We start from the raw sequence: 22,427 nt of genomic DNA, 5'->3' as shown, positions 1-22,427 counted from the left end.
CCGGGCGGGGCGCCCGCGGACTCCAGGCCCGCCCGGGGCGGGGCCTGCGGGGCCTCCTCCGCGGCCAGCTCGGGGCTGGGGGGCCGCGGGCGGGAGGCGGATAAAAAGGCCCCAGGGCGCCCGGGGAGGGAGCCCGTTAGCGCTGCTCCGCCGCGGCGCCCGCCCAGCCCCGGACTGTCCGCGCTCCATCTGGTGAGCCCCCGCCTGGCCGCGCGTCTGCCTCTTGGTCTGCCTCTTGCTGTCCCATCTGTCCTTCTGTCTCTCTGTGAGTCTGCAGGCCTCTGAGGGTTCCTGGAGACTGGGCCTAGGGTGCATGGGGGATCCCTTGGACCCTCAGCCCGGCCCTCCAGTCGCTCACCAACCTGCTTCCAACTGGACAAGTGACCACGCTGGGGAGCTTGGCCCAAGGCCCGCCCTGAGTGGTGCGCCCAGGCCTCAGGGGTGCCTGCGTGTCTTGTTTGTGTACACGCCGTGTGTAACCATTGCTCTGCCTTCTTCCAGGGAGGAGACAGGGAAGGGGCAAGGCGGGTTCAGATGTCACACTTACGACTTGGGGGACAACGAACCAGGGCTGATCTGGGCTCTCCAACTATCCAGACCGGAGCTGATTATGTTGGGGGGTCGGCGTGTGACAGAAACACCGAAGGGAAGGGGGCAGAAGACTTCAAGCCCCCTCTTTCCTAGCCTGGACAGGTACAGCTCAGAGACCATTTGTTGGCACTGCTTCAGGTCCACAGAGTCAGTAACCCCGGGGAGGCTACAGGGCTGAGAGGAGGCTGCTGAGAAGAGCTGCCCAACGGCAGAGAAGGGATGAGCCATCCTAAAGTTGCTGCACCCTCAGGACAGCACCCCCCATGCTCTCTCTTGAATACTCGGGCATTTGCTGTCTTCAGCCCTCCCTACCTGCGCTAGGTCAGGCCAGGTCCCAGCATCTCCTGGCACACCTGGAGCAGGTGCCTCTGTGCCTCAAGCTGGCAAGATCTTGGATCTGTCACTCGGCATTCAGCGAAGAGCACCCTGCCCAGTGCCCTCACACCACGGCCTGGGTCATAAATCCACCAGAACAGGGTGGAATTTCAGTCGGCTCCCGGCCTTCCTTTCCTCCTCCCCCTCTTCCAACATCCATTCTTGGTGGTTTTGAGAGTCCGGCGTCTAGCCAGGCTGCTTGGGTTTGAATCCTGGCTGGGCAAGTTACTTGACTTCCCTGGACCTTACCTTCTCATCTGTAAAATGGAGATAAGTATTTAATCCGTATTTTAAAATGTATAGTTATTATCCTCACTTCCCTCCCCTCCTCTTTCCCTTCCACCTTCCTTCCCTCTTCTGTCCCCTTCTCCTTTATTTGGGAAAGTAACGGCCACTTTCGAGGCCGCTTCCTTCTCTGAGGGAGGATGCACAGCTTGGTCCTCTGTGCTCAGTGCTAGGGGAACAGACAGGTGGAGTCTGGTTGTGGGGTCAGGAAGCAAACACACAATGTGCTTTGTGGAAGGCTTTGTGGGAGGGCTTAATGGAGGGGGTGGCATTTGAGCTGGCCTTGTGGGATGTGTAGGAGTTTAACAGTCTTAGATAGAGGGAAAGGAACAGTGAGAGCAAAGGCTTGGAGGCTGGGAGACGAAGGCTATAGTCTGGTGTGAGCAAAAGCTCTCGGGGGCCTATAGTGGGCAGGAAGGCCAATAAGAGGGACTCTCCCTGCATCTAACTCTTGGTTCCCGCTGCCGTCCCCCCACCTTCCAGCAGCGTTCATGGAAGGGAGCTTCCCTGGCCCAGACCCCAGGGTCCTACAGCAGAAGCCCTCCCATGCCCTCAGGTTGGTCCCTTGGAGAGGAAGGAGCTGCTGGCCTGGGACTGTCCACAGCCTGTAACAAGACCTCCTCAGTGTGTCAGGGACTTCAGCCAGGAGCCAAACAGCAGACCTGCCCAGCCTACCCTGGGCCCCATCAGAGCATGTCGGATAGGGGGGCTGTCTAGTGCCACCCCCTCATTTTACAGGTTTTTCAGCTGAGACTCAGAGAAAGGAAAATATTTGACTCCAGACACAATTTGGCGGCAGAGATAGAAGCATTCCAACTCCTGGGGGTGGTAGAGAAGGTGTGGTTGTCACTCAGCCCAGACCCATGTGACCACTGGGTCCTAATAGCTGAGGGACCTGAGGCCGATCTGTCCCATCCTTTCTTGCCATCTGGGGAGTGGTTTGGCTCAGTCCCTGGCTGTCTACCTCCTACTCCAGGGAGCACGGAGGAGGGAATGGGAAACAATGGAGAGCACTCTGCTCATGGGACAGCCAGCTGGGAGCCCCCACAAGCCTCTGAGTGACATGCAGAAGACAGTGTTTCAGTCTGGAAAGGAAGCGTGGGAGGGGTCAGAGGGGGAGAGCTGCAGAGGTGAGAATGGGAAGGCAGCCCCTGCACAGCCTCAGGGAGTGGAGAGGGGAGCATCTAGGCTCTGCAGTGTGGGTGGAGGGAAAAGGGGCAAATCTAGAGAAGGCTGCAAAGAGGAGTACCAAGGACTTGCAGTTGAGATCGGACGTGGCCTCCATTTCCTTCTTTGTACAGAGAGGAGGTGGGACCAATCTAGACCAACGGTTCTATCGTCGCTGTCACAGTAGCTGTTAATAATAGTTCATTGTTGGCCGATGTAGTGGCTCACGCTGGTAATCCCGTCACTTTGGGAGGCCAAGGCGGGTGGATCACCTGAGGTCAGGAGTTCAAGAACTGATGTGGTGAAACCCTGTCTCTACTAAAAATACAGATAAATTAGCTGGGCATGTTGGCGCATGCCTGTAATCCCAGCTACTTGGGAGGCTAAGGCAAGATAATCACTTGAACCCTGGAGGCGGAGGTTGCAGTGAGTCGAGTTTGTGCCATTGCACTCCAGCCTGGGTGACAAGAGCAAAAATCTGTCTCAAAAATAATAATAATAATAATAATAATAATAATAATAATAATAATAATAGTTCATTGTTACTGAAGGCTTGCTCTTCTAAGGATTTAATGTTTCTTCACTTAATCTTTACAAAAATCCTATGAGGTAGTTACTATTATTATCCCCACTTTACAGAGGGAGACACTGAGGCAGGGAGAAACTAAATCGCTGGCCCAAGATCACTTCCAAATGAACTGGTGGAGGCAGGATTCGAACCCCAGCAGTCTGACCGCCCAGCCTGTGCTCTCAAGCACTGTGCTGCCACCTCCCATCCATGCAACCACAGATATGAATGAGTGCCACCTACACACCTGACACTATTTTGGGAACTGGGGACACAACACATCCCCACTCCCATGGAGCTTCATTCCCAGAACTTGTTTAGTGCACTTTTAGGAGCCCACTCCACCCAGCCCTGCTGGCCAAGGCCGTTGAGAGGGAGTAGGGCAGATGCCATCCATGGAAGTGAGAGTGGCAGGGGCCTGTGAGAGCCTCCCCACTCAAGCGGATGAGCTGCATGATTCCCCAAGAGGAGCCATGGCCGTGGAAGAGGCAGGTCTCATCAGAACGAGCTTTCTTAGCCCATCTTCTCCATCCCCTGTTCCAGGTCGGCCTTAGCTTCCATCGGCAGCAGAGCCTTGGGGTGGAGGAGCTTCAGCTTCGGTGGCTCCAGAGGTCTCTGACAGCTCTAACCAGCTGAGACTCTCTCCTCTATGCCCTTCTCCACCTGCTGGTCCCGGGACCAAGGCTGCTGTGTGAGGGGGAGAGGACCTGCCCCCAGCCTCATCCCCTCTCTAAGGACCCAAAGAACGTCTGATTACAGCCTCCTGGAGACAGGGGCCCTCTCTGTTTACCGCCTGAAACCCTCCCCTGGCCCCTCGCTTCCTACAGGATGAAGGCAAACCCTCTGTGTAGTACACATGGCCCTTGATCATTGGCCCCAGCTCGTCCCTCCATCTCTTTCCCCTCCAAACCCCCACACTGTGGTCTGGGGGTAAGAGAAGGGCACTTCCTGCTCTTGCACAAACTCACCTCTTTCCCTCTTTCCTAATCCTCTTCTCTGTATCTCGAATGCCCCTTTTCTCACCCAGGAGAATCTTATTTGCCCAATAAGGCTCAGGTTAAGTGTCCCTTCTTTGAAAGGCTTCCCTAATTCTTCTTGCTTGAGCTTCATGAAGGTAGGGAGGGTGTTCGATGTCTTAATTTCTGTGTCCCAGCACCTGGCCTGAAGCAAGTATTCCAAAAATGTGTATTGAATCTACATGAATCATACGCCTAGATGGATGTGAGGCTATCACAGGGTATCCAAGCTGCAGGAGGGATCCAGATGATATGTGGTTCCATCTCCTCACTTTAGAAATAAAGAGTCAGGGCCGGGCACAGTGGCTCACACCTGTAATCCCAGCACTTTGGGAGGCCAAGGCGGATGGATCACGAGGTCAGGAGTTCAAGACCAGTGTGGCCAAGATGGTGAAACCCCGTCTCTACTACAGATACAAAAAAATTAGCTGGGCGTGGTGGTGGGCGCCTGTAATCCCAGCTACTCAGGAGGATGAGGCAGAGAATTGCTTAAACCTGGGAGGCGGAGGTTGCAGTGAGCTGAGATTGCAGCACTGCAGTCCAGCCTGGGCGACAGAGAGAGACTCTGTCTCGAAAAAAAAAAAAAAAAGAAAGAAAGAAAGAAAAAAGAAAGAAAGAGTCAGGACCTAGAGAGTTGAAGAGACTTGCCCAAGCCATGCAGCCAATGAGTGGTGGAGTCCTTGATGCCCATCTAATAGCCCTTTCTGCTCCAGCCTTCCATGTGCCTTCTAGGTGAAGGCGGCACTTCACACATTTGATTAGGGTGCTAGGAACATCAGAAGGTGGTGGCAGTGTCCCTGGGGTAGATAGTCTTGACCTGAGGGCACCCTGGGGGCATCCCCGTGACTCAAATGGTGGACCACCTCGTCTGCCTACACATAAGATTTTAGGTGTATAAGAGCTGCTGTTTATTGTGTACTCACCAATGCTAGGACTTTGCTAAGCACTTTCCATACGGTGTTTTATTTAACACTCAACAACACCGTGAGATGGAGATTACTATCCCCATTTTACAGATGAGGAGACTGAGACTCAGTGAGGTTAAGTTTAAACTTCCTCAAGGTCATGGCGAATGTGGTGGATTTGAACCAAATCAGCTAACCTGGCCCAGACTCAATTAATGCCACTGTGTGTGTGTGTGCGCGTGCACACACACACACATTTGAGGGGGGTTTTCTTTCCTTTGTCTTGCCAGGAGCTGCCAAATTGCTGCAGAGGTCTGAGATCTGGGTAGAGGTGGTGATCACTGTCATGTTTACTCATTCCTCAGGTATCTTGGCCTCAGCTGTCCTTGAAGTCACCATGGCGTGGTCCCCACCAGCCACCCTCTTTCTGTTCCTGCTGCTGCTAGGCCAGCCCCCTCCCAGCAGGCCACAGTCACTGGGCACCACTAAGCTCCGGCTGGTGGGCCCAGAGAGCAAGCCAGAGGAGGGCCGCCTGGAGGTGCTGCACCAGGGCCAGTGGGGCACCGTGTGTGATGACAACTTTGCTATCCAGGAGGCCACAGTGGCTTGCCGCCAGCTGGGCTTCGAAGCTGCCTTGACCTGGGCCCACAGTGCCAAGTACGGCCAAGGGGAGGGTGAGTGACTGGTGCCACCTAGTGGGATGGCAAGGAGATGGTAACAGTCTTCTTGGGCTGGGCTCACTGACACCCACCCATCCTTTAATACCCTGCTCATGTGACCTCCTCCACACGGCATTTCCTGAGTGCCTCAGCTGCACATGGCCCCTACTCCCACCCTCCCATTCTCTCTTGTAATAAGGCCACCGCCGTCACCACCACTAAACTCTAAGTTCCTTGAACATAGCAATTGGCACACAGTGGGTGCTTAGAGAATGTTGAATGAAAAAATGGGCAAACAGGTAGGTCTGATTCCTAGAGCTACCCGGCATTTTCCAAAAACAGATTCTCTAAGAGCCAGCACCCAAAGGAGGTAGCAGGCAGGGTTATAAATACTTATTCCCCAGGAGACCCAAACTTCCTCCTCCCTGCCACTTTCTCCCAGGGTTTGGAAGAGGTGACTTGGTAAGTGTGGGGTCCTATGCAGGAGGCAGAGCCTGTGACCTGCCTCTCTGTGCCATCTTTGAGCATCACCTCCACTCCACAGGACCCATCTGGCTGGACAATGTGCGCTGTGTGGGCACAGAGAGCTCCTTGGACCAGTGCGGGTCTAATGGCTGGGGAGTCAGTGACTGCAGTCACTCAGAAGACGTAGGGGTGATATGCCACCCCCGGCGCCATCGTGGCTACCTTTCTGAAACTGTCTCCAATGCCCTTGGGCCCCAGGTGAGGAGGCTGTTCAGGCTCTGGTCTGAGCCAAGGGCTGGGTCAGAGAACAGAGAGCCTCCCAGAAGACGGGCCTAGAGGATAAGCGAGGGGAAAGGGTGCAGTCTGCACTGAGCATCGTCCCCAGGCCGCCGACTCCTGAGTGTGCCCTGCAGCAGGTGCATAAATAGAGGGCCCCAGCCTGAGGCAAGGCAGGCCAGAGGACCAGAGCTGACCCCACTGGGAATCGCAGAAGCTGCTCCCGTAAGGGAGACAGCATTGGGTAAGGGGCTCCCTCATCCATGAGGCCTGGCCACAATTGCTGCCTCTTCCCAGCACAAACAACCCTGAGCTAAAAACAGCCCAAGCCAAACAACAGGAGCGGGCAGGGCAGGGCTCTGCTGCCAGGCAGCCTCCAGCCTCAGGACAGCTGGCCATGGCCACTGAATGCAGCGTGTTGTGATGGGGACTCTGTACTGGTCTAAGTCATCCCAGGGCTAGGGTTGGGGGTTCTTGTGGGCCATAGGATCCTGCTGTGGTCTCAAGCAGCTGGTCTATGCCCATCTCAGCTCTCTCAGGGTGGTACAGAGAAGGCCCTTCCATGCCCAGCAAAAGCCTCCCAAACTCCAAGGGCTCCCATCCTGATCCCAGCGGGGGCCAGATCTGCCTAGTTCTCTCCAATTTGACAAATTCGAGGAACTGAGGGAAAGGGCTTAGACAAGCTGAGGTTCTGCCTTGCACTTACTCTGTGGCCTTTGATAATGCCTCCCCTTCTCTGGGCCTCAGTTTCCTGGCCTGTTCAATGACCGGGCTGGGTGGGATGGTCTCGAAAAGCTCCAAGCCCCAGCCTTTCTGCATGAAGATCTGCAGCAGGCTCCACTGGAGGAGCAGGAGCCCCGAGGCCCACAGGTGACTGTGCACCCCGCAGGGCCGGCGGCTGGAGGAGGTGCGGCTCAAGCCCATCCTTGCCAGTGCCAAGCAGCATAGCCCAGTGACCGAGGGAGCCGTGGAGGTGAAGTATGAGGGCCACTGGCGGCAGGTGTGTGACCAGGGCTGGACCATGAACAACAGCAGGGTGGTGTGCGGGATGCTGGGCTTCCCCAGCGAGGTGCCTGTCGACAGCCACTACTACAGGTAGGAGGGCGGCTGGCGTAGGCCCCACAGGAGGCAGGGTTGTGGGGCAGGGACTGAGTGTGTGTTCATGTGCGTGCATGTGATGTAGGGTGTGTGCATGAGTCTGAGTGTGGACTCATGTGAGGGGCAAGTAAGTATGCACACAGGCGAGTGTGTGATGTGTGTGGCATGTGGGACCTCGCAGAGTTCAGTGAGTACTGACTGGCAGTGGTGTTGTCTGTGGCAGGACATCCAGCAGGTGTTGGGATTGGGGGAGAGAAAACAGGCCCTACTGAGGAATGTGCCCAGATTTCTTGCTTCACGGGTGCCTCAGAATAATAAACAGGAAAGTGAATAAGGAGGACCTTCAGGATCCTGGGAAATACCTAGAAACAGTCAGAAAACAAACACTGCACTCTCGAATTATGTAAACAGAATTAACTAGGTACAGAACGCCCCCCCACCCCCCGCCCCCGGTGAAAACAGTTGAACATAAAACCGCGTGTCCTTGGTTAAAACACTAGACTTTCCTGCAGATACTTGCAGTGACACCCACGTGTAGAGTTTAGACAAACTGTTCTGGCCTCAGCTCAGCCAGTGACTGGCGTTAGGGCTTTGGGGAGGGCCTCTGAGCCTCCATCCTCAATTCCACTGCGAATATCCCAACGCTTCCCTCCTGAATTTCCTCAGCTCTGATCAAGCCAGGCTGTGACTGGGTTGTGTGTAAGTGAGGCGTGGGGTGGGGCACCTGGAGAGAGGAGACATAAAAATATTCTGTCAGAAACAAGGCGGAACTGTCACAACTGATTGCATCAACCAGTAAACGACAGCCACAGTCATGGTTCTGCCAGATCCGTGTCAGGGAGGACTTGTGTGTTTCCCATCAAGTGAGAAGTCTCCCGTAGTACGTCTGAGTCATCTGCCACCCCAATCAGTTTGATCCTGCTTCCCTAAAGGGTTAGAAGGCCCTTGTTGCAGTGACTTAGAGGAACCCCGTTCTGAGGAAACAGGGGTGCTGGTCAGCCTCTGGCTCCATCCTTGGGGATCCTGGGATGCAGCCTGACTCCCCCTGCCTGGTAATTGCACACCTGGGTCTCGCTGACTTGCCTGCCACCCATGAGGAGGGCAGGCCTGATGGTAGCCTGGGTGTCTCTGGGCGGGCCGCCCCCACCAGCAAGGCCTTCACCTCCCACCTGTCCCCAGAGGGCCCCTTCTCTTGGGCCCTCCCTAAATGCTCCCCTTCCTCTGGACTTCGGAGAGGGCAAGCCTGATCCACCTGCCCCCACTCTAGGACTGGCCGAGGGACCTTGCTTGCCTTCCTTGTAAAATGGTTATTTGTGAGGTGGCCACCCCGTCAGGGCTGCTGTGAAGCTCAGCATTGAAATCAGATTAGTGAATAAGTTTACAAAATGTAAAGTCCTGTGCAAACTTAAGGACAACTATGAGGAACCAGGTGGCAGGGGGTGGGACTTCCACACCCCTTCCACCTCCTATCTGTTTTCTCCCATAACAGGAAAGTCTGGGATCTGAAGATGAGGGACCCTAAGTCTAGGTGAGGAGCAGCACCCTAGAGGGAGGAGGCAAAGGGGTGTGGCATGAAGGGCCTCTATCCCATCCCCTACCCTCCCCTTCCCTCCTTTCTACCTTGGCCTCCCTTAGTCCTGAAGCTCTTCCCTCAGCCCTTCCTCCACCCTCAGTCTCCCTTGTCCTCTAGGCTGAAGAGCCTGACGAATAAGAACTCCTTCTGGATCCACCAGGTCACCTGCCTGGGGACAGAGCCCCACATGGCCAACTGCCAGGTGCAGGTGGCTCCAGCCCGGGGCAAGCTGCGGCCAGCCTGCCCAGGTGGCATGCACGCTGTGGTCAGCTGTGTGGCAGGGCCTCACTTCCGCCCACCGAAGACAAAGCCACAACGCAAAGGGTCCTGGGCAGAGGTGAGCCCTGGGCATCCTGCACTCACACCACAGCTTGGAGGCACGGGCGGGACACTGCCTGGTGGGGGGTGCGGGGAGGTCCAGGACACGCAGGAGAGAGGAACCAGACTGGGAGGAGGAGAGTGAATCACAGAACTGTAGAACCTTGGAATGTATTTAAAAGGGATCATTTATAGCCCTACCATAAATGGAAAGCTGACATCACCCGCCTTGAATAGAAGGTGACCGTAAAAACAGTAATTAAATCCTAACTACATTCCACTGAGGGCTGGTACTGATCCTGAGCCTGCTCCTGAGCCTGCTCCTTTGTTTTAAAGAGGAGATGAGCAAGTGCTTATGAGGTGGTAGAGACGCCTCAGTGCCAAACTGAGATGCCCTCATGAGGTGGTACAGATGCCGTGAGGTGGTACAGATGCCTCAGCGCCACACTGAGATGGCCTCGTGAGGTGGTACAGACACCTTAGTGCCACACTGAGATGGCCTCGTGAGGTGGTACAGATACCTTAGTGCCACACTGAGATAGCCTCGTGAGGTGGTACAGACACCTTAGTGCCACACTGAGATGGCCTTGTGAGGTGGTACAGATGCCTTAGCGCCACACTTGAGACGGCATCCTTGATGAGGCTGTGGGGGTGATTGGTCATTGAAGAAATGGAGATCAAGAAAAACAGCTTATTCAGGGTGACAGCTATGGGAAGTCAGAAGCAGGACTGGAACTCCCCATCCTTGGCTCTGGCCACCGCCATGGAACTTGAAGGAGCCCCGTTGGGGATCCCGCTGTGGGGGCTCAGCCCCTGCTGGTGCCTCCTCCTCAGCCGTCCCTGAAGCAGGTTTCTCCCAGCAGGAGCCGAGGGTGCGCCTGCGCTCCGGGGCCCAGGTGGGCGAGGGCCGGGTGGAAGTGCTCATGAACCGCCAGTGGGGCACGGTCTGTGACCACAGGTGGAACCTCATCTCTGCCAGTGTCGTGTGTCGTCAGCTGGGCTTTGGCTCTGCTCGGGAGGCCCTCTTTGGGGCCCGGCTGGGCCAAGGTGAGTGAGACAGCCTGGGAGGGGTTAGAAGGCCTGGATATGCCACTGGTCCATGTCTTGAAGGCCCTGGGGTGACAGGGCCAGGACAGAAAGTTATCCCCCTCTGTGAAGGGGAAGCCACAAGTGTGGGGTTACGGAGATGGAGCCTCGCACACAGCACCTCTCTCCCCATCTAGGGCTAGGGCCCATCCACCTGAGTGAGGTGCGCTGCAGGGGATATGAGCGGACCCTCAGCGACTGCCCTGCCCTGGAAGGGTCCCAGAATGGTTGCCAACATGAGAATGATGCTGCTGTCAGGTGCAATGTCCCTAACATGGGCTTTCAGAATCAGGTGAGTTTGGGTCTGAGCATGGCCTCAGGCTGGGGGCCGGGAAACCCTGGGGAGTCCCCAGGACACCACATCGAGCTAGCGGGGAGAGGTCCAGGAGGAGCGGCTAGCGCTTCTGCTTTGGGCACCAGTCTGCCTTCCCTTAGAGCCGACCTGGCTGCAGCCCCTCCGAAATGTCAGAGGCCACAGGGGCTCTGCAGATGGATGTGCTCTCCCATACCCGTCTCGGGTCCCCTGTGAAGCTGAGAAAGAAGGTGCCTGGGAAAGAGGGCCACAGGGCTGTCGGCACGAGGGAGTCTGTGTGGGATGCTCAGGGCAAAGTGTCAGTGCTAACATGGACTGTGAGCAAGTCACTGGTGCCACTGTAAAATGGGGTTCACGCTCTCAGGGGGTCACTGTGAATGAGGCAAGGGACATGAAAGCCCTTTGCAAATTGCCAGTTGTCGTTAATGGTGGAGGGCAAGTGCCAGAGCAGGAGGAGCCCCTGGTCCAGGCACTTTGAGTCAGATTTCTCTAGCAGGCAGGGACATTAGAGACTACCTGCTACACTGTCCTCACCTTACAGAGAAGGAGACCAAGGCAGAGAAGGGGACTGTCTTGTCTAGGGTGACACAGTGAGCTGGCTTGGGCAGACCTCCAGGCTCGCAGCCCTGAGCTCTTCCCTGCAAGGCTACCCCACTCCTCACACACCCCTCGCCATTGCAGGTGCGCTTGGCTGGTGGGCGTATCCCTGAGGAGGGGCTATTGGAGGTGCAGGTGGAGGTGAACGGGGTCCCACGCTGGGGGAGCGTGTGCAGTGAAAACTGGGGGCTCACCGAAGCCATGGTGGCCTGCCGACAGCTCGGCCTGGGTTTTGCCATCCATGCCTACAAGGTAGGTCCCTCTGTTGTTTCTTCCGTATGACCTCTCACCCTCCTGTTCTGAGGCCCAAAACTTCCTGTGCTAAAGCTGCTGCCTCTTTGCCCATTTGGCAATTCATTACTGAGTGAAACTATGAGCCGACATGATGCTGAGTGCTGGGAACAGTGTGGTAAACAAGAAGACATAGTCCTAATGAAATCGTCAATGAGGGACACATTTGCATCTGCAGGAAAGATGAATAGAAATTAGTCAGACAAGGTGGAGGAGGAATGAATAGCTTATGCAAAAGCCCTGTGGCCAGAGAAAGCTTGATTCAGCTGAGGAAATCAGGGCCAGGGATTGTAGTGTGGCTCTCTCTCGAGAGTGCTGTCAAACATGAGGGCAGAGGAGGCAGGGGCAAGATCACTCAAAGCTTGCAATCCACATGTTTGAAAGATTTCTTCCTTTGCTGTTTGGAAAACGTTGGGTGGAGATTAACATGAATGCAAGGAAACACACTCAGGAGGCTATTGTAGTAGCCCAGGTGAGAAATGAGGCTGGACTGGACCAGGTAGTCCAGGAGAAATAAGTGGATAGATCTAAAATACATCAAAAAATAAAATCAAGAGGACTTAGGCATGACCGCAACAGAGAAACCTCTGCACTTGCACCCACACTGGCTGCCGCACAGTGTGGACTGGGCAACCCTGAGCACAACTGACGATCTGGGCCGCTTGAGGAGCAGCTGGGGAAATGTGAGCACAGCCCCCAGGGAGAGGGGCGGGGAACAGGACCCTCCTCTGCCATCTGGAAGAGAGAGGGGTGTAGGGCCAGTAGTGGAAGCCACGGTGGGTGGATTTTTACCTCCATATGTGGTGGGGATTTCTAACATCAGAAGGGTCCAAATGTGTCATGGACTGCCCCAGGGAATTCGGGTTCTCATCACTGAAGATTTTCAGGCCCAGGCTGGACACAACCCGGTGGGGGTGGTATGACTGAGGCCACACCTCAGATGGGAGTCAGGAGGTGACTCCAAAGGCACGCTGACTGGGTGACGCTGGCTGTCTTCTTAGGAAACCTGGTTCTGGTCGGGGACGCCAAGGGCCCAGGAGGTGGTGATGAGTGGGGTGCGCTGCTCAGGCACAGAGCTGGCCCTGCAGCAGTGCCAGAGGCACGGGCCGGTGCACTGCTCCCACGGTGGCGGGCGCTTCCTGGCTGGAGTCTCCTGCATGGACAGTGAGTGACGGAGGGCTCACAGGGCTGGGGACAGGTAGGCCTGTGCTCCCCTTCAGGGAGGGCCCTGCATGCTGGTCCCAGGTCTATGGCCAGCAGCATGGGGGAATGAAAGTACCAGCTCTGCCATTTCCCAGCTGTGTGGCCAAATCACCCATCCCATCAGGATCCATACCCTGCCCCCTCACGGAGTTATTGTGAGAAAGAACACTGAGAACATGAGGAAGCACAAGGACACGGAACGGCGGTTTTCAACTTTGGGTTATGACCAACAGTTACAAACAATGAAACAGGACAGAAAACAGCAAGGGCAGTTTTTCCTTGGAACTATGTGTATACTGGGTTACAGCATAAAATGTATTTCTTACTGTGGTTTGTAGTCAGAAAAGCAGTTTGAAAGCTGTCGTAGAGGACATACAAATATGAGCACACCCGGGGCCAAGGCCCAGCTGTGTGTTCTCTTCCTGAGCTGTGGGATTTACCCAAAAAGACTTTGGGACAAGGCCATCTGTGGCATTGCTCTGCCCCACAAACCCAGATTCTTAGGGCAGCAGCATCTCTGACATCTCCCAGCCAGGTCAGTGCCAAGATGGACTATATCCAGCCCAAAGGTTACAGATAGCATCAACCCAAGTGGCCACTTGACCTTGTTCGTGGCCAAATTTCGACACCAAGATATCCTTCATCTTTGTCAGTGAGCTCCTGGCTTCCTCTCTGTCCAGGGCACCCTGGGGAGAACACTGGGCCCATCCATCAGACCCTCCCCTGCAGGGATGGGGCATGAGAGTGGACCTCCCCATCACCAAGGCCTCCCAGCACGTGGGGAGCCTGCTCCTCACTTGACTCCCCTTCCTGGGAACCTCGAACCCCTCCCTGCTCCACTGCCTACAGTGGGAGCGCTCTTCTTGAACACATTTGATCCTTCACGACAACTTGGCACAGTCAGCCAATCTGCAGTCTCTGTAACCACCTGTTTTTCCTCCCTGGCTTTTCACATTGCTTTCTTTCCTTTACTCTCTCTTCTCATTCTCTCTGAAAGCTCGCCTTCTTTCACCAAGAAACTCTAGGTTTGTCAGTGGGCACTTCCTGGCTCTCTCCAATATATACCACAGGACCCTACATGGCCAACTGCCAGATGCAGATGGCTCCAGCCTGGGGCAAGCTGCGGCCGGCCTGCCCAGGTGGCATGCATGCTGTGGTCAGTGGTGTGGCAGGGCCTCACTTCCGCCCAGGACTACTTTAGTGATAGTGATTTTTAGTGACAGTACAGGCAAAGTATCCAGGTTAGGTATCAGCAGAGCTTTTTGAGAGGATTATATGAACTAAGCTACATAAAGGCACTTTACAGGCTTAAAAGCATTTTACAAAATAAATACTAGCTTCAACTGCATGTTTACTTAGGCCAGACATGTTACAGGTGTCATCAGATTAATATCACCATTATCTTCATCTTACAGATGATGAAAATGAGAGACAAAATGGTTAAGCAGTTATAGAGCTAGTGAATTATACAGTCAGAAAGTAAGCCAAGAATGAACCCAGGTGGCCTGGCTCCAAAACCAGCAAGCCTAACCATGACACTGTAGCTGCCTCCCAGGTTAAGGTGATAGACTTCCTTTAAATGTTATTAGAACTCACCATCTCCTGACTCTTAAAACTGCCCTTCTTTTGTGGGGTCCTCTCGGAGGGTTTAATCTGGGGGCAAGCTTGCCCTCTGTGCTGGAGACTAAGACTGGCTGCCTTTCCACCCTTTGAGTCACTGCCATGCCCTCCGCCGCCCCAGGTGCACCAGACCTGGTGATGAACGCCCAGCTAGTGCAGGAGACGGCCTACTTGGAGGACCGCCCGCTCAGCCAGCTGTATTGTGCCCACGAGGAGAACTGCCTCTCCAAGTCTGCGGATCACATGGACTGGCCCTACGGATACCGCCGCCTATTGCGCTTCTCCACACAGATCTACAATCTGGGCCGGACTGACTTTCGTCCAAAGACTGGACGCGATAGCTGGGTTTGGCACCAGTGCCACAGGTTAGAGCCTGCCCATGCATTGGCACTAGAGGGTTAGGAACAAAAAGCAGGGTCCAGGGAGCAGTTTGGCCCTTCCCTGGCCACAGGCAAGTTTTCCTGGGAGGGGTGTGCGCTCTCCTTGCTGGCCTTGCCTGCAGGAGGCAGTGAGGACAGCGGCATCCACCTGCCCCTCCATCGCTCTCGCCTTCACTATGTCAATGGTGCCCGTGGGGTCTGTTTCCCACAGCAACATCCCATAGAGGCGTCACCGCCAGCAGAGTTGTTCTGTTAGAATGGTATTTGACACTTTTCCTATGTTGGATCATAGGCCTTGTCTTCAGAAGCCAGGTAAAGTGGGGACTCCCAGGAACCTGGGGGCCCAAAATAGACATCCCATCCAGGGTGCTGGCTCTGCAGGAAAAGCTCGCTGATTCCTTCAGTAGTAAGGCAAGGCCCTCAAAGAACAGCATGAACAGACTGCCACTAAAAAAGTGACAATGAACATTCTTTCCTATCAGGAGCTTCCAGACCAGAGAGAGGGAGAGACAATGCCTGTGACAAAGGCAGAATTGTTTTTTCTTCTTCAGAACATAGCCACGGGTGGAGAAAGTGGAAAGGAATGGGCAATGACTTTGGGACTTGGTCTCGCCTGAGATAATAAGCACCTTTCCCTGTAGCATGAACAGAGCTGTCATTATAACTGGATTGGAAACAATGGTAGCAATTTGGTCCCAGGCTTACAGGGACCCTCTTCCCAGCAGGTCAGCTCCTAGGCTGCTCACAGACCCGGTGCCCCGCCTCTCCCCCCAGTTCAGGCCTTGCTGTCAGGCACCAGCCTCCTGGAGGCGACCAGAGCAGGGCTTCTACCTCTTGCCTGGGTTGAGACCCTAGGTGGTGGGGGCAGCTGTACTTGCTGCCTGGCAGGGGTGCCAGCAAAGGAGGCTGTGCGTCACACTAATCTCGGGTTTGGGAGGGAGAAGGGCACTGCCTACTATAACTTTCCTCTCGGGTCATGATGGGGCCTGGGGCCTGTCTTCCCTACCAGCCCCTCCAGAGAGGACCCTCTCCTGTTGCTGCCGCACTGACAGCTCTACCCCTTCTGCAGGCATTACCACAGCATTGAGGTCTTCACCCACTACGACCTCCTCACTCTCAATGGCTCCAAGGTGGCTGAGGGGCACAAGGCCAGCTTCTGTCTGGAGGACACAAACTGCCCCACAGGTATGTGGTTTCCTGTCAGCACCTATCAGCATCTCCTTTTGTTATGTTCTTCAGCCCCTTTGGGATCAGGCTTTCTCTCTGCCCTGTTCAGCAGCCCAGGGCACCTGGAGACCCTGGCTTGAAAAGTTAGCATTCAAGGCAATTTCTTACCTTCTGAAATCTTACGCAGGAGGTTTTTACTTCCTCTGAATTCCCCACGCATTGTTCTTCTTTTAAAACACTCAGCACTTTCCATCTTGGAGAAGAGTTGCAGACCTGTCCTATCTCTGCTGAGCTCTCCGAGGGCAAGCATTGCCTGCTTCCTGTCTGCACACCCACAGTCCCTAACCCTTAGGAACTGCATGGTAAACACTGAATCTTTAGAGGTTTGGAAGGATGGATAGGCGGATGCACAAGTAAATTAGCACGGGAGCGTTGGAATCTCCCAACCACAGTTCCTAGTTCAACAGGGATTTGCACTGGAGCAGTCAAACAAATCCTATCTTTGTCACAATGTGGTTTGCTATGGTGCTGGATTCACAGCAGGATTCTAGCTCTGACGGTCCTTAATCTGTGAACTGGGCATGATGACACTGAACTGGTAAAGGAAATAAAAGACCTAGCAGAGTGCTTCGTCCTGCCTCAAAACCTGTCTGTCCCCTTCCTTACAGGACTGCAGCGGCGCTACGCATGTGCCAACTTTGGAGAACAGGGAGTGACTGTAGGCTGCTGGGACACCTACCGGCATGACATTGATTGCCAGTGGGTGGATATCACAGATGTGGGCCCCGGGAATTATATCTTCCAGGTAAGGCGGCTGGGGGATTCCCCACAGAGCCTGATTTCCTCCAGATGTTCCACAACTTTCCCTGAGGGCAAATGAAGGGAAGAATTTCCCATACAGGGTTTCCGACAGGCCTGTCACTTAAAGGAGCTGTCCTGTTAGGGAAGTAACAGTCAAGCTGGGTCCAATGAACCTGTGTTTGAGTATTGATTCAGTGAACACTGGATAAATCAGTTTCTCAGTTGGGACTTCTCAGTCCCTATCTGTAAAATGGGAACATCAGTACCTACCTCCTGGGTAATTGTTAAGAATTAATGAAGCAAATAGAAACACATGTAAGGATTATCACAGCCACAGTCAACTCATTCAGAAACCAAATCACCCATTTTCAGTTGTCCCCTCTTTCACTCTAGGTGATTGTGAACCCCCACTATGAAGTGGCAGAGTCAGATTTCTCCAACAATATGCTGCAGTGCCGCTGCAAGTATGATGGGCACCGGGTCTGGCTGCACAACTGCCACACAGGTAACTCCGAGCCACTGTGGAATCAGCCATCTATAGGCTCAGGGAGCTGGAACACTGTAAATGTACCCTCTGCTCCCACACTCCAGCGTGTGACTTGTATGTGTGTGGTGTGCAAAAGGCTATGGATGGAACAGAGATGCATTTCCTTTGACATCTTACAAGGCAGACTTCTAGAACTGGTCAGACCATCGGCTTCACCCAATAACTACATCTTCTACATCCCTGTTTGCACTTAAGGCTGTTTGATTGTAAACTCAGTTTCCAATCTGTTCTAGAATCTTTCCTGTCACCTCAAGCCATGTCAGGATTTTCAAGTCCATTATTTTTCCTTTCTCTTTCATATAGAAGTTAGGGTTAGGGTCCTCACAGGCAAAAGTAGTCCTCTTGCTCTGTGTTGCTGTCTCCAGCTGTGATCACTGCTTGCAAGAAGGGGACCATGGAAAACAGAGCCACTTACAGGATTGGTAGCATCAGTCAAAGGAAGCATCATGATCCAGTGGGGGCAGAGAAGAGGGGCTGTTCTGTCAGTAAAGACTCCCTCTATCTTCAAGGGTTAAAAATGCCCATATTTGCTATGGGATATGCATTCACTCATACTTGCATATGTGCGGTGGGATGGGGCAGAGTTGTTCATTTAGTCAACAAACATTTACTAAGGCTCACTATTGTGTTGAACGCTGTGCCCCAGAAACTGGGAATGTAAGTGTCAGATAGGGTATGCACACATGCAAATAGCCCCAATACTACTAATGTGTGGACTGAATGCTGAGCAAGCACAGACAGAAAGCAACCTGTTGGGGGCTAGCACAAGCTTCACAGAAGTAGTATTTGATCTGAGGTTTGAAGGAGGAGCCAAAGTCAAACATGGGAGGAGTAGAGAAAGAGCACAGGACTGGGCTTTGGAAGGCGTCACCCGAATCCAGTCCCACCACTTTCTAGCTGGAGGACAGTGAGGAAATCACGACCTGAGTTTTCTGTTTTGTAAAATGGGGCTGTATACTTCAAACTTACTAAGTACTAGAGCTTTTTGCAGGGAGGGTTGTGATAGTTCTAAGATAATGGATTTTATCCCGTGGGCTTCTGGGAACTATTGACAAATTTCAGTCAAGGAGGCAAAAGATCATTTAGGTTTTCAAAAAATAACTGTGGCAACAGATGGACGAAAATGAGAAGAGGAAGAACAGTCTAAGGTTTCGAATTTGTGTGGCTGAGTAGATTGTGCTGCCACTTAAATGAAACAGGGATATTGAGAGGAACCAGGAACTGGAATCCAAGGCTACGCACACGGAGACAGCAGATCCTCCATAATGCTAGAATCAGGCTGCAAGGGTTCCCAGGCAGTGACAAGGGCAAGAAAAATAATGCAGTCCTGCAGGTCCTCTTGCCAGTGTTTAGGATCCAACAGGGCTAAACAGAAGTGTGCGGAAAACAGAAGGCACACTCGGGTGAGAGTCTGAGTTTATTTAATTAAAGGACTATTTATAAGAAAACAAGGAGTGTTGAGACATCAAGCATAAAGAAAGTAGAAAACCGTTATCTGCTTTAGGCTTGAAGAGGGGCAAGGGCTGCTTTGCAGCCAGGTGCAAGCCAGAGTTGTGAAGGAGGGTGAACCTAGCTGGAACAGGAGTCACAGACCATCACTGCCAGAACCACAGGGCCAAAGTAGGGGAAGGAATATCCGGCCTCTCTCCTTCCACCCTCTGACCTTCTGCTGTTGCTTTCCATTGACCCAACTCAAACAAACAAAAAAAGAGGACAAAGGAGCCAGAGTGATGTAATCGCTAGGCATCAGCTTCCTAGGGCACAGAGGGAAAAAAGGGCAGAGAATGAACCTGGGGAGGGGGGCAAAGGAGAATAACTAGCACAACTCTTTCCAATCAATAGCCTGTTCTTCCTGATGTTCCTGAAACCACACACCTGTCCCAGGCCTATTTCTATAAAATGATTGGTGTCTGTGCCCATGCCATGACTTGATATAAAGGATGAGCTGGGCAGAGTGGATCTATGTAAGTTGTCAGGGAAGGGATGAGACTGGAAAGGTTGGCTACTTACCTGTTTTCCTTTGGCCCACAGGGAATTCATACCCAGCCAATGCAGAACTCTCCCTGGAGCAGGAACAGCGTCTCAGGAACAACCTCATCTGAAGCTGTCACTGCACACTCCTAGCTGCTGCCGATACACCAGATACCTCAGCTTATTGGAGCCATGCCCTTCACAGAGTCCCAACTCAGAGGAAAAGGGCCAGTGCCAAGGGGCACCAAGAACCTGCTCAGGAAGCCTTTTGATGGCAAGATCACCAATCCAGATGGTATTGCTCCCTCAGGATGGCTCTGGGCCTGCCCCTAAGGGCCTGTGGCCTATGGAATATGTCCTCCAGGCTTTGCTCAGCTGAGCTCCTCTTCTGTAAGGAAACCCAGTCATCCCTGAATCTTGCCACAGAGATCCGGGATTCAGGAGCTCTCAGTTTCTTAGGGATGGACTATGGCCCAGTCCCCCATCTAAGTGGTGCTTTGCAAATGTCTTGGAGGAGTATAGGACAGAGGACCAAAATACACAGCAGGTAGTGTTAGCTCTCTGCTAGGAGCTCAAAGCAACACAACTTGTATCAAAATCACAACTGGCAGAGAAGCTGGTGGATCCAATCCTTTCTTCATCTGTTGTTATTTAGAACTCACCTCTCACACTCTGTTCTTTAGTGTCCTTACCTTTATCTTACCACACACATGGGTGTTTCTATTATCCTTGGAAGCACAGACCTCGGGCATCCCCTTATTGCCTGATGGGCCAACACCAACAGTTACGGAGTGCTTGAGAAGGGGCAAGTTTCACAGAAATGGCCAGATAGGGCCTTCCTACAGAGCAGCAAGAGTAGGCCAAGCAGAAAGACTGCTGAGGTAACACGGACCCCAGCCCCTGTCAGGGCCTCTGCCAAGGAAATAATATGGACCATTTACCTGGCAGGCAGTCTGCTCTCTCTCAGGATCACCACGCATCTCAGGATTGGTCTAAACTTCAAGTCTCAACCAAGTGTCTGAAGTGAACTTTGCATTGAATAAATTTTTGCCATGGAAAGAACATCAAACAAGCCACTCATCTCTACAGAGATAAGAAAACAAGTTTGGCAGAGCAAGAGACAGAAGACCGTGGAGAAATCAGAAGGGGGAACAGTCAGTTTAGTTAAGGATGGAACCTGGGAAAGGCCACCATTCCTGCTTGATGGGGCTCTGATTTGCTCTTGCTCAAGTGGAATAAAACCCCATGGTCTTCTTGACATGATTCTTGATCTTTTCTCCACTGAGACACACTTAAGTGATGATCCTTACAGGACTGACACCCTAATGCCAATAAAAGTTGCTCATTATGGACTGCTACAAAGACCAGACCAGCTGTGATTATGTACACACCCCAGAACCACAGACCTACCCTTTTGCCTCCCATGGAGCCAGGGCCTGGGATACACAGGGCACACATGCTTCTCATGACTGCCCATCTACATTTCTCCAATCAGACATAAGTCTGCTTCCCAGTCAGCCTCCCCAGGCTTAGAGCTGAAACACGGGTTAGAAAGGTTAAGGGGTAAAGGATAGGGGCAAGAAGGTAAAGTCTGAGGATTGCAAACTTTTATAATCAAGGCTGCGAAGCCAAAATAAATGGTAGCAGATGGAGCAGATTTACAACAGCACTACCCCCACCACATCACAAGAGCCACCACATCACAAGAGCTACCCCCTCCTTAGGGAGTAAAAAGGGACATGTTCCGGGGAACCCTCTGTGAATACAAAGAAGTGCTTTCTTCCTTATCCCCGACCTTCCCTCTCCTCAACTCCCTCATCTCCTTCATTAGGCAGAGGGAGCATTATATTTTGGCATGGCAGTTTAGGTAAACAAGGGAAGGACTGATTTCCTGTTGGATCCAGCAAACATCCCCCAAACAGTAACAACATTATGCTCACACATGCAGCTAATGGTCTGTGAAAGAATGTGCAGCTAGCAGGGGAGCATGTGGTGACTGATGACTAGATTCAAGCAGGGAGGTTACCCACAGCTGCTTGCTGGATCCAGTTTCTAAGAGGGACCAAAAAAACAGGCCAGGCAGCCAGCCACCGGCTCTGGTCTCAGCCTTGCTGCCCACATTACACGTTTGATAGGTGCAGCCAGTTCTAATTCTTGGAAAAGGCCATACAAGGGTTGTGCTGTTACAACTCTGAGCTGAAAGGGAAGGACATGGGAAGACTGGTGGCTGGCATGACTTATAACTAGATGAGGAATGTTAACAGAATACCAACCACCAAATTCCAGGTAGAACCAAAAATGTCAAAAGACTTTCATCTCAGCATACTTTAGCCTCAGAGAAACTAAGGTGCTAAGAATGTCAGCTTAGTCTTCAGAAGCCTAACTTACCTTTATACTACAAAGACTTTCACTCTATGAAGAGCATATCATAACTAATGGGAAATGTACTTTTCTACTAAATTCCAGGTAATCCTGAGATTTAGATGTTCAACACATATGCACAGCAGAGTACATTAGCTGTCTTCCTGAATATCTAACAAAGGCACCAGTGGCAGCTACAGGGTGCTCTCCAGCTAACTCAGCTTGAGAAAGCATGGCTTGGATGTGCCCAAGGATTTAATTCCCATCTGGAAAAGCTCAATATAGTCTGTGCTGGGCCATAGCAGGAGCTCTTACCTCCAGCTAGCATACATCAATCCCAACTACTTGAATAATGTAACTAAAAAGCACATTCTCTACTAATGGTAGAAGCAGCAACACTCCATAATTTTCAAGTGTAGGCTTAAAAAAAAATCCTTTCTCTGGGTCTGGTTATAAGGATAAATCTGGAAAGTTAGAGGTGGCTGACTATTGGCTGAAAAAAAGGACAGGCTACTAGCATACAGCATTAGAATGAGAACCAAAATAAGTTATTGAAATTACGAAGATTACAAGAAAACTGGGAAATAAACATGGGGCTATATGTTACCATTAACAATGCCTTTAAAAGCTAAAGTGTAGCCAGGAAGAAGCATCCTCACAGGCAAGTGACAGGAGTAGTCATCTCTTTTGTACTGCCCAAGGTCACTCTTGGCCTTGAAGAATCAAAGCAGAGCAAAGGTATAACTCAGAGGTATACCATTCAGTATGAAGTCAGGCTGCAATTCCCTGCATTT

General features: G+C 52.7%; 1 protein-coding gene across 6 annotated transcripts, besides 3 other annotated features; it reads left to right on the top strand.

The window, feature by feature from the left end:
• Positions 130-20,634, top strand: LOXL4 (lysyl oxidase like 4). 6 transcript variants are annotated; one of them, XM_047425835.1, is made up of 16 exons: positions 130-192; positions 502-693; positions 5,273-5,581; positions 6,111-6,289; positions 7,197-7,402; positions 8,895-8,933; positions 9,096-9,315; positions 10,160-10,343; positions 10,520-10,674; positions 11,377-11,544; positions 12,585-12,747; positions 14,528-14,771; positions 15,856-15,971; positions 16,622-16,758; positions 17,148-17,259; positions 19,333-20,634. In XM_047425835.1, exons 3-16 carry the CDS (start codon positions 5,305-5,307, stop codon positions 19,401-19,403), a joined length of 2,271 nt encoding a protein of 756 aa, XP_047281791.1. In that variant the 5' UTR covers positions 130-192; positions 502-693; positions 5,273-5,304; the 3' UTR covers positions 19,404-20,634. The 6 variants fall into 6 exon arrangements, with proteins under 6 accessions (XP_047281791.1, XP_006718083.1, NP_115587.6 ...); XM_006718020.2 differs by having other exon boundaries at positions 10,157-10,343; NM_032211.7 differs by lacking the exon at positions 502-693.
• Positions 183-682: an enhancer, noted in NCBI's record as "H3K4me1 hESC enhancer chr10:100027399-100027898 (GRCh37/hg19 assembly coordinates)". NCBI's record gives its function as "activates a minimal SCP1, AML or CMV promoter by ChIP-STARR-seq in primed H9 embryonic stem cells {active_cell/tissue: H9 hESC(primed)}" and the evidence as "EXISTENCE:reporter gene assay evidence [ECO:0000049][PMID:30033119]".
• Positions 683-1,184: an enhancer, noted in NCBI's record as "H3K4me1 hESC enhancer chr10:100026897-100027398 (GRCh37/hg19 assembly coordinates)". NCBI's record gives its function as "activates a minimal SCP1, AML or CMV promoter by ChIP-STARR-seq in primed H9 embryonic stem cells {active_cell/tissue: H9 hESC(primed)}" and the evidence as "EXISTENCE:reporter gene assay evidence [ECO:0000049][PMID:30033119]".
• Positions 5,951-6,840: an enhancer, noted in NCBI's record as "H3K4me1 hESC enhancer chr10:100021241-100022130 (GRCh37/hg19 assembly coordinates)". NCBI's record gives its function as "activates a minimal SCP1, AML or CMV promoter by ChIP-STARR-seq in primed H9 embryonic stem cells {active_cell/tissue: H9 hESC(primed)}" and the evidence as "EXISTENCE:reporter gene assay evidence [ECO:0000049][PMID:30033119]".
• Positions 20,635-22,427: the final 1,793 nt, after the last annotated feature.

Source organism: Homo sapiens, chromosome 10 (assembly GCF_000001405.40).
Source record: "Homo sapiens chromosome 10, GRCh38.p14 Primary Assembly".
Taxonomy (NCBI): Eukaryota; Metazoa; Chordata; class Mammalia; order Primates; family Hominidae; genus Homo; species Homo sapiens.
Note: the sequence above shows the minus strand (reverse complement) of the source record. Positions and strands in the feature narration are given on the sequence as shown.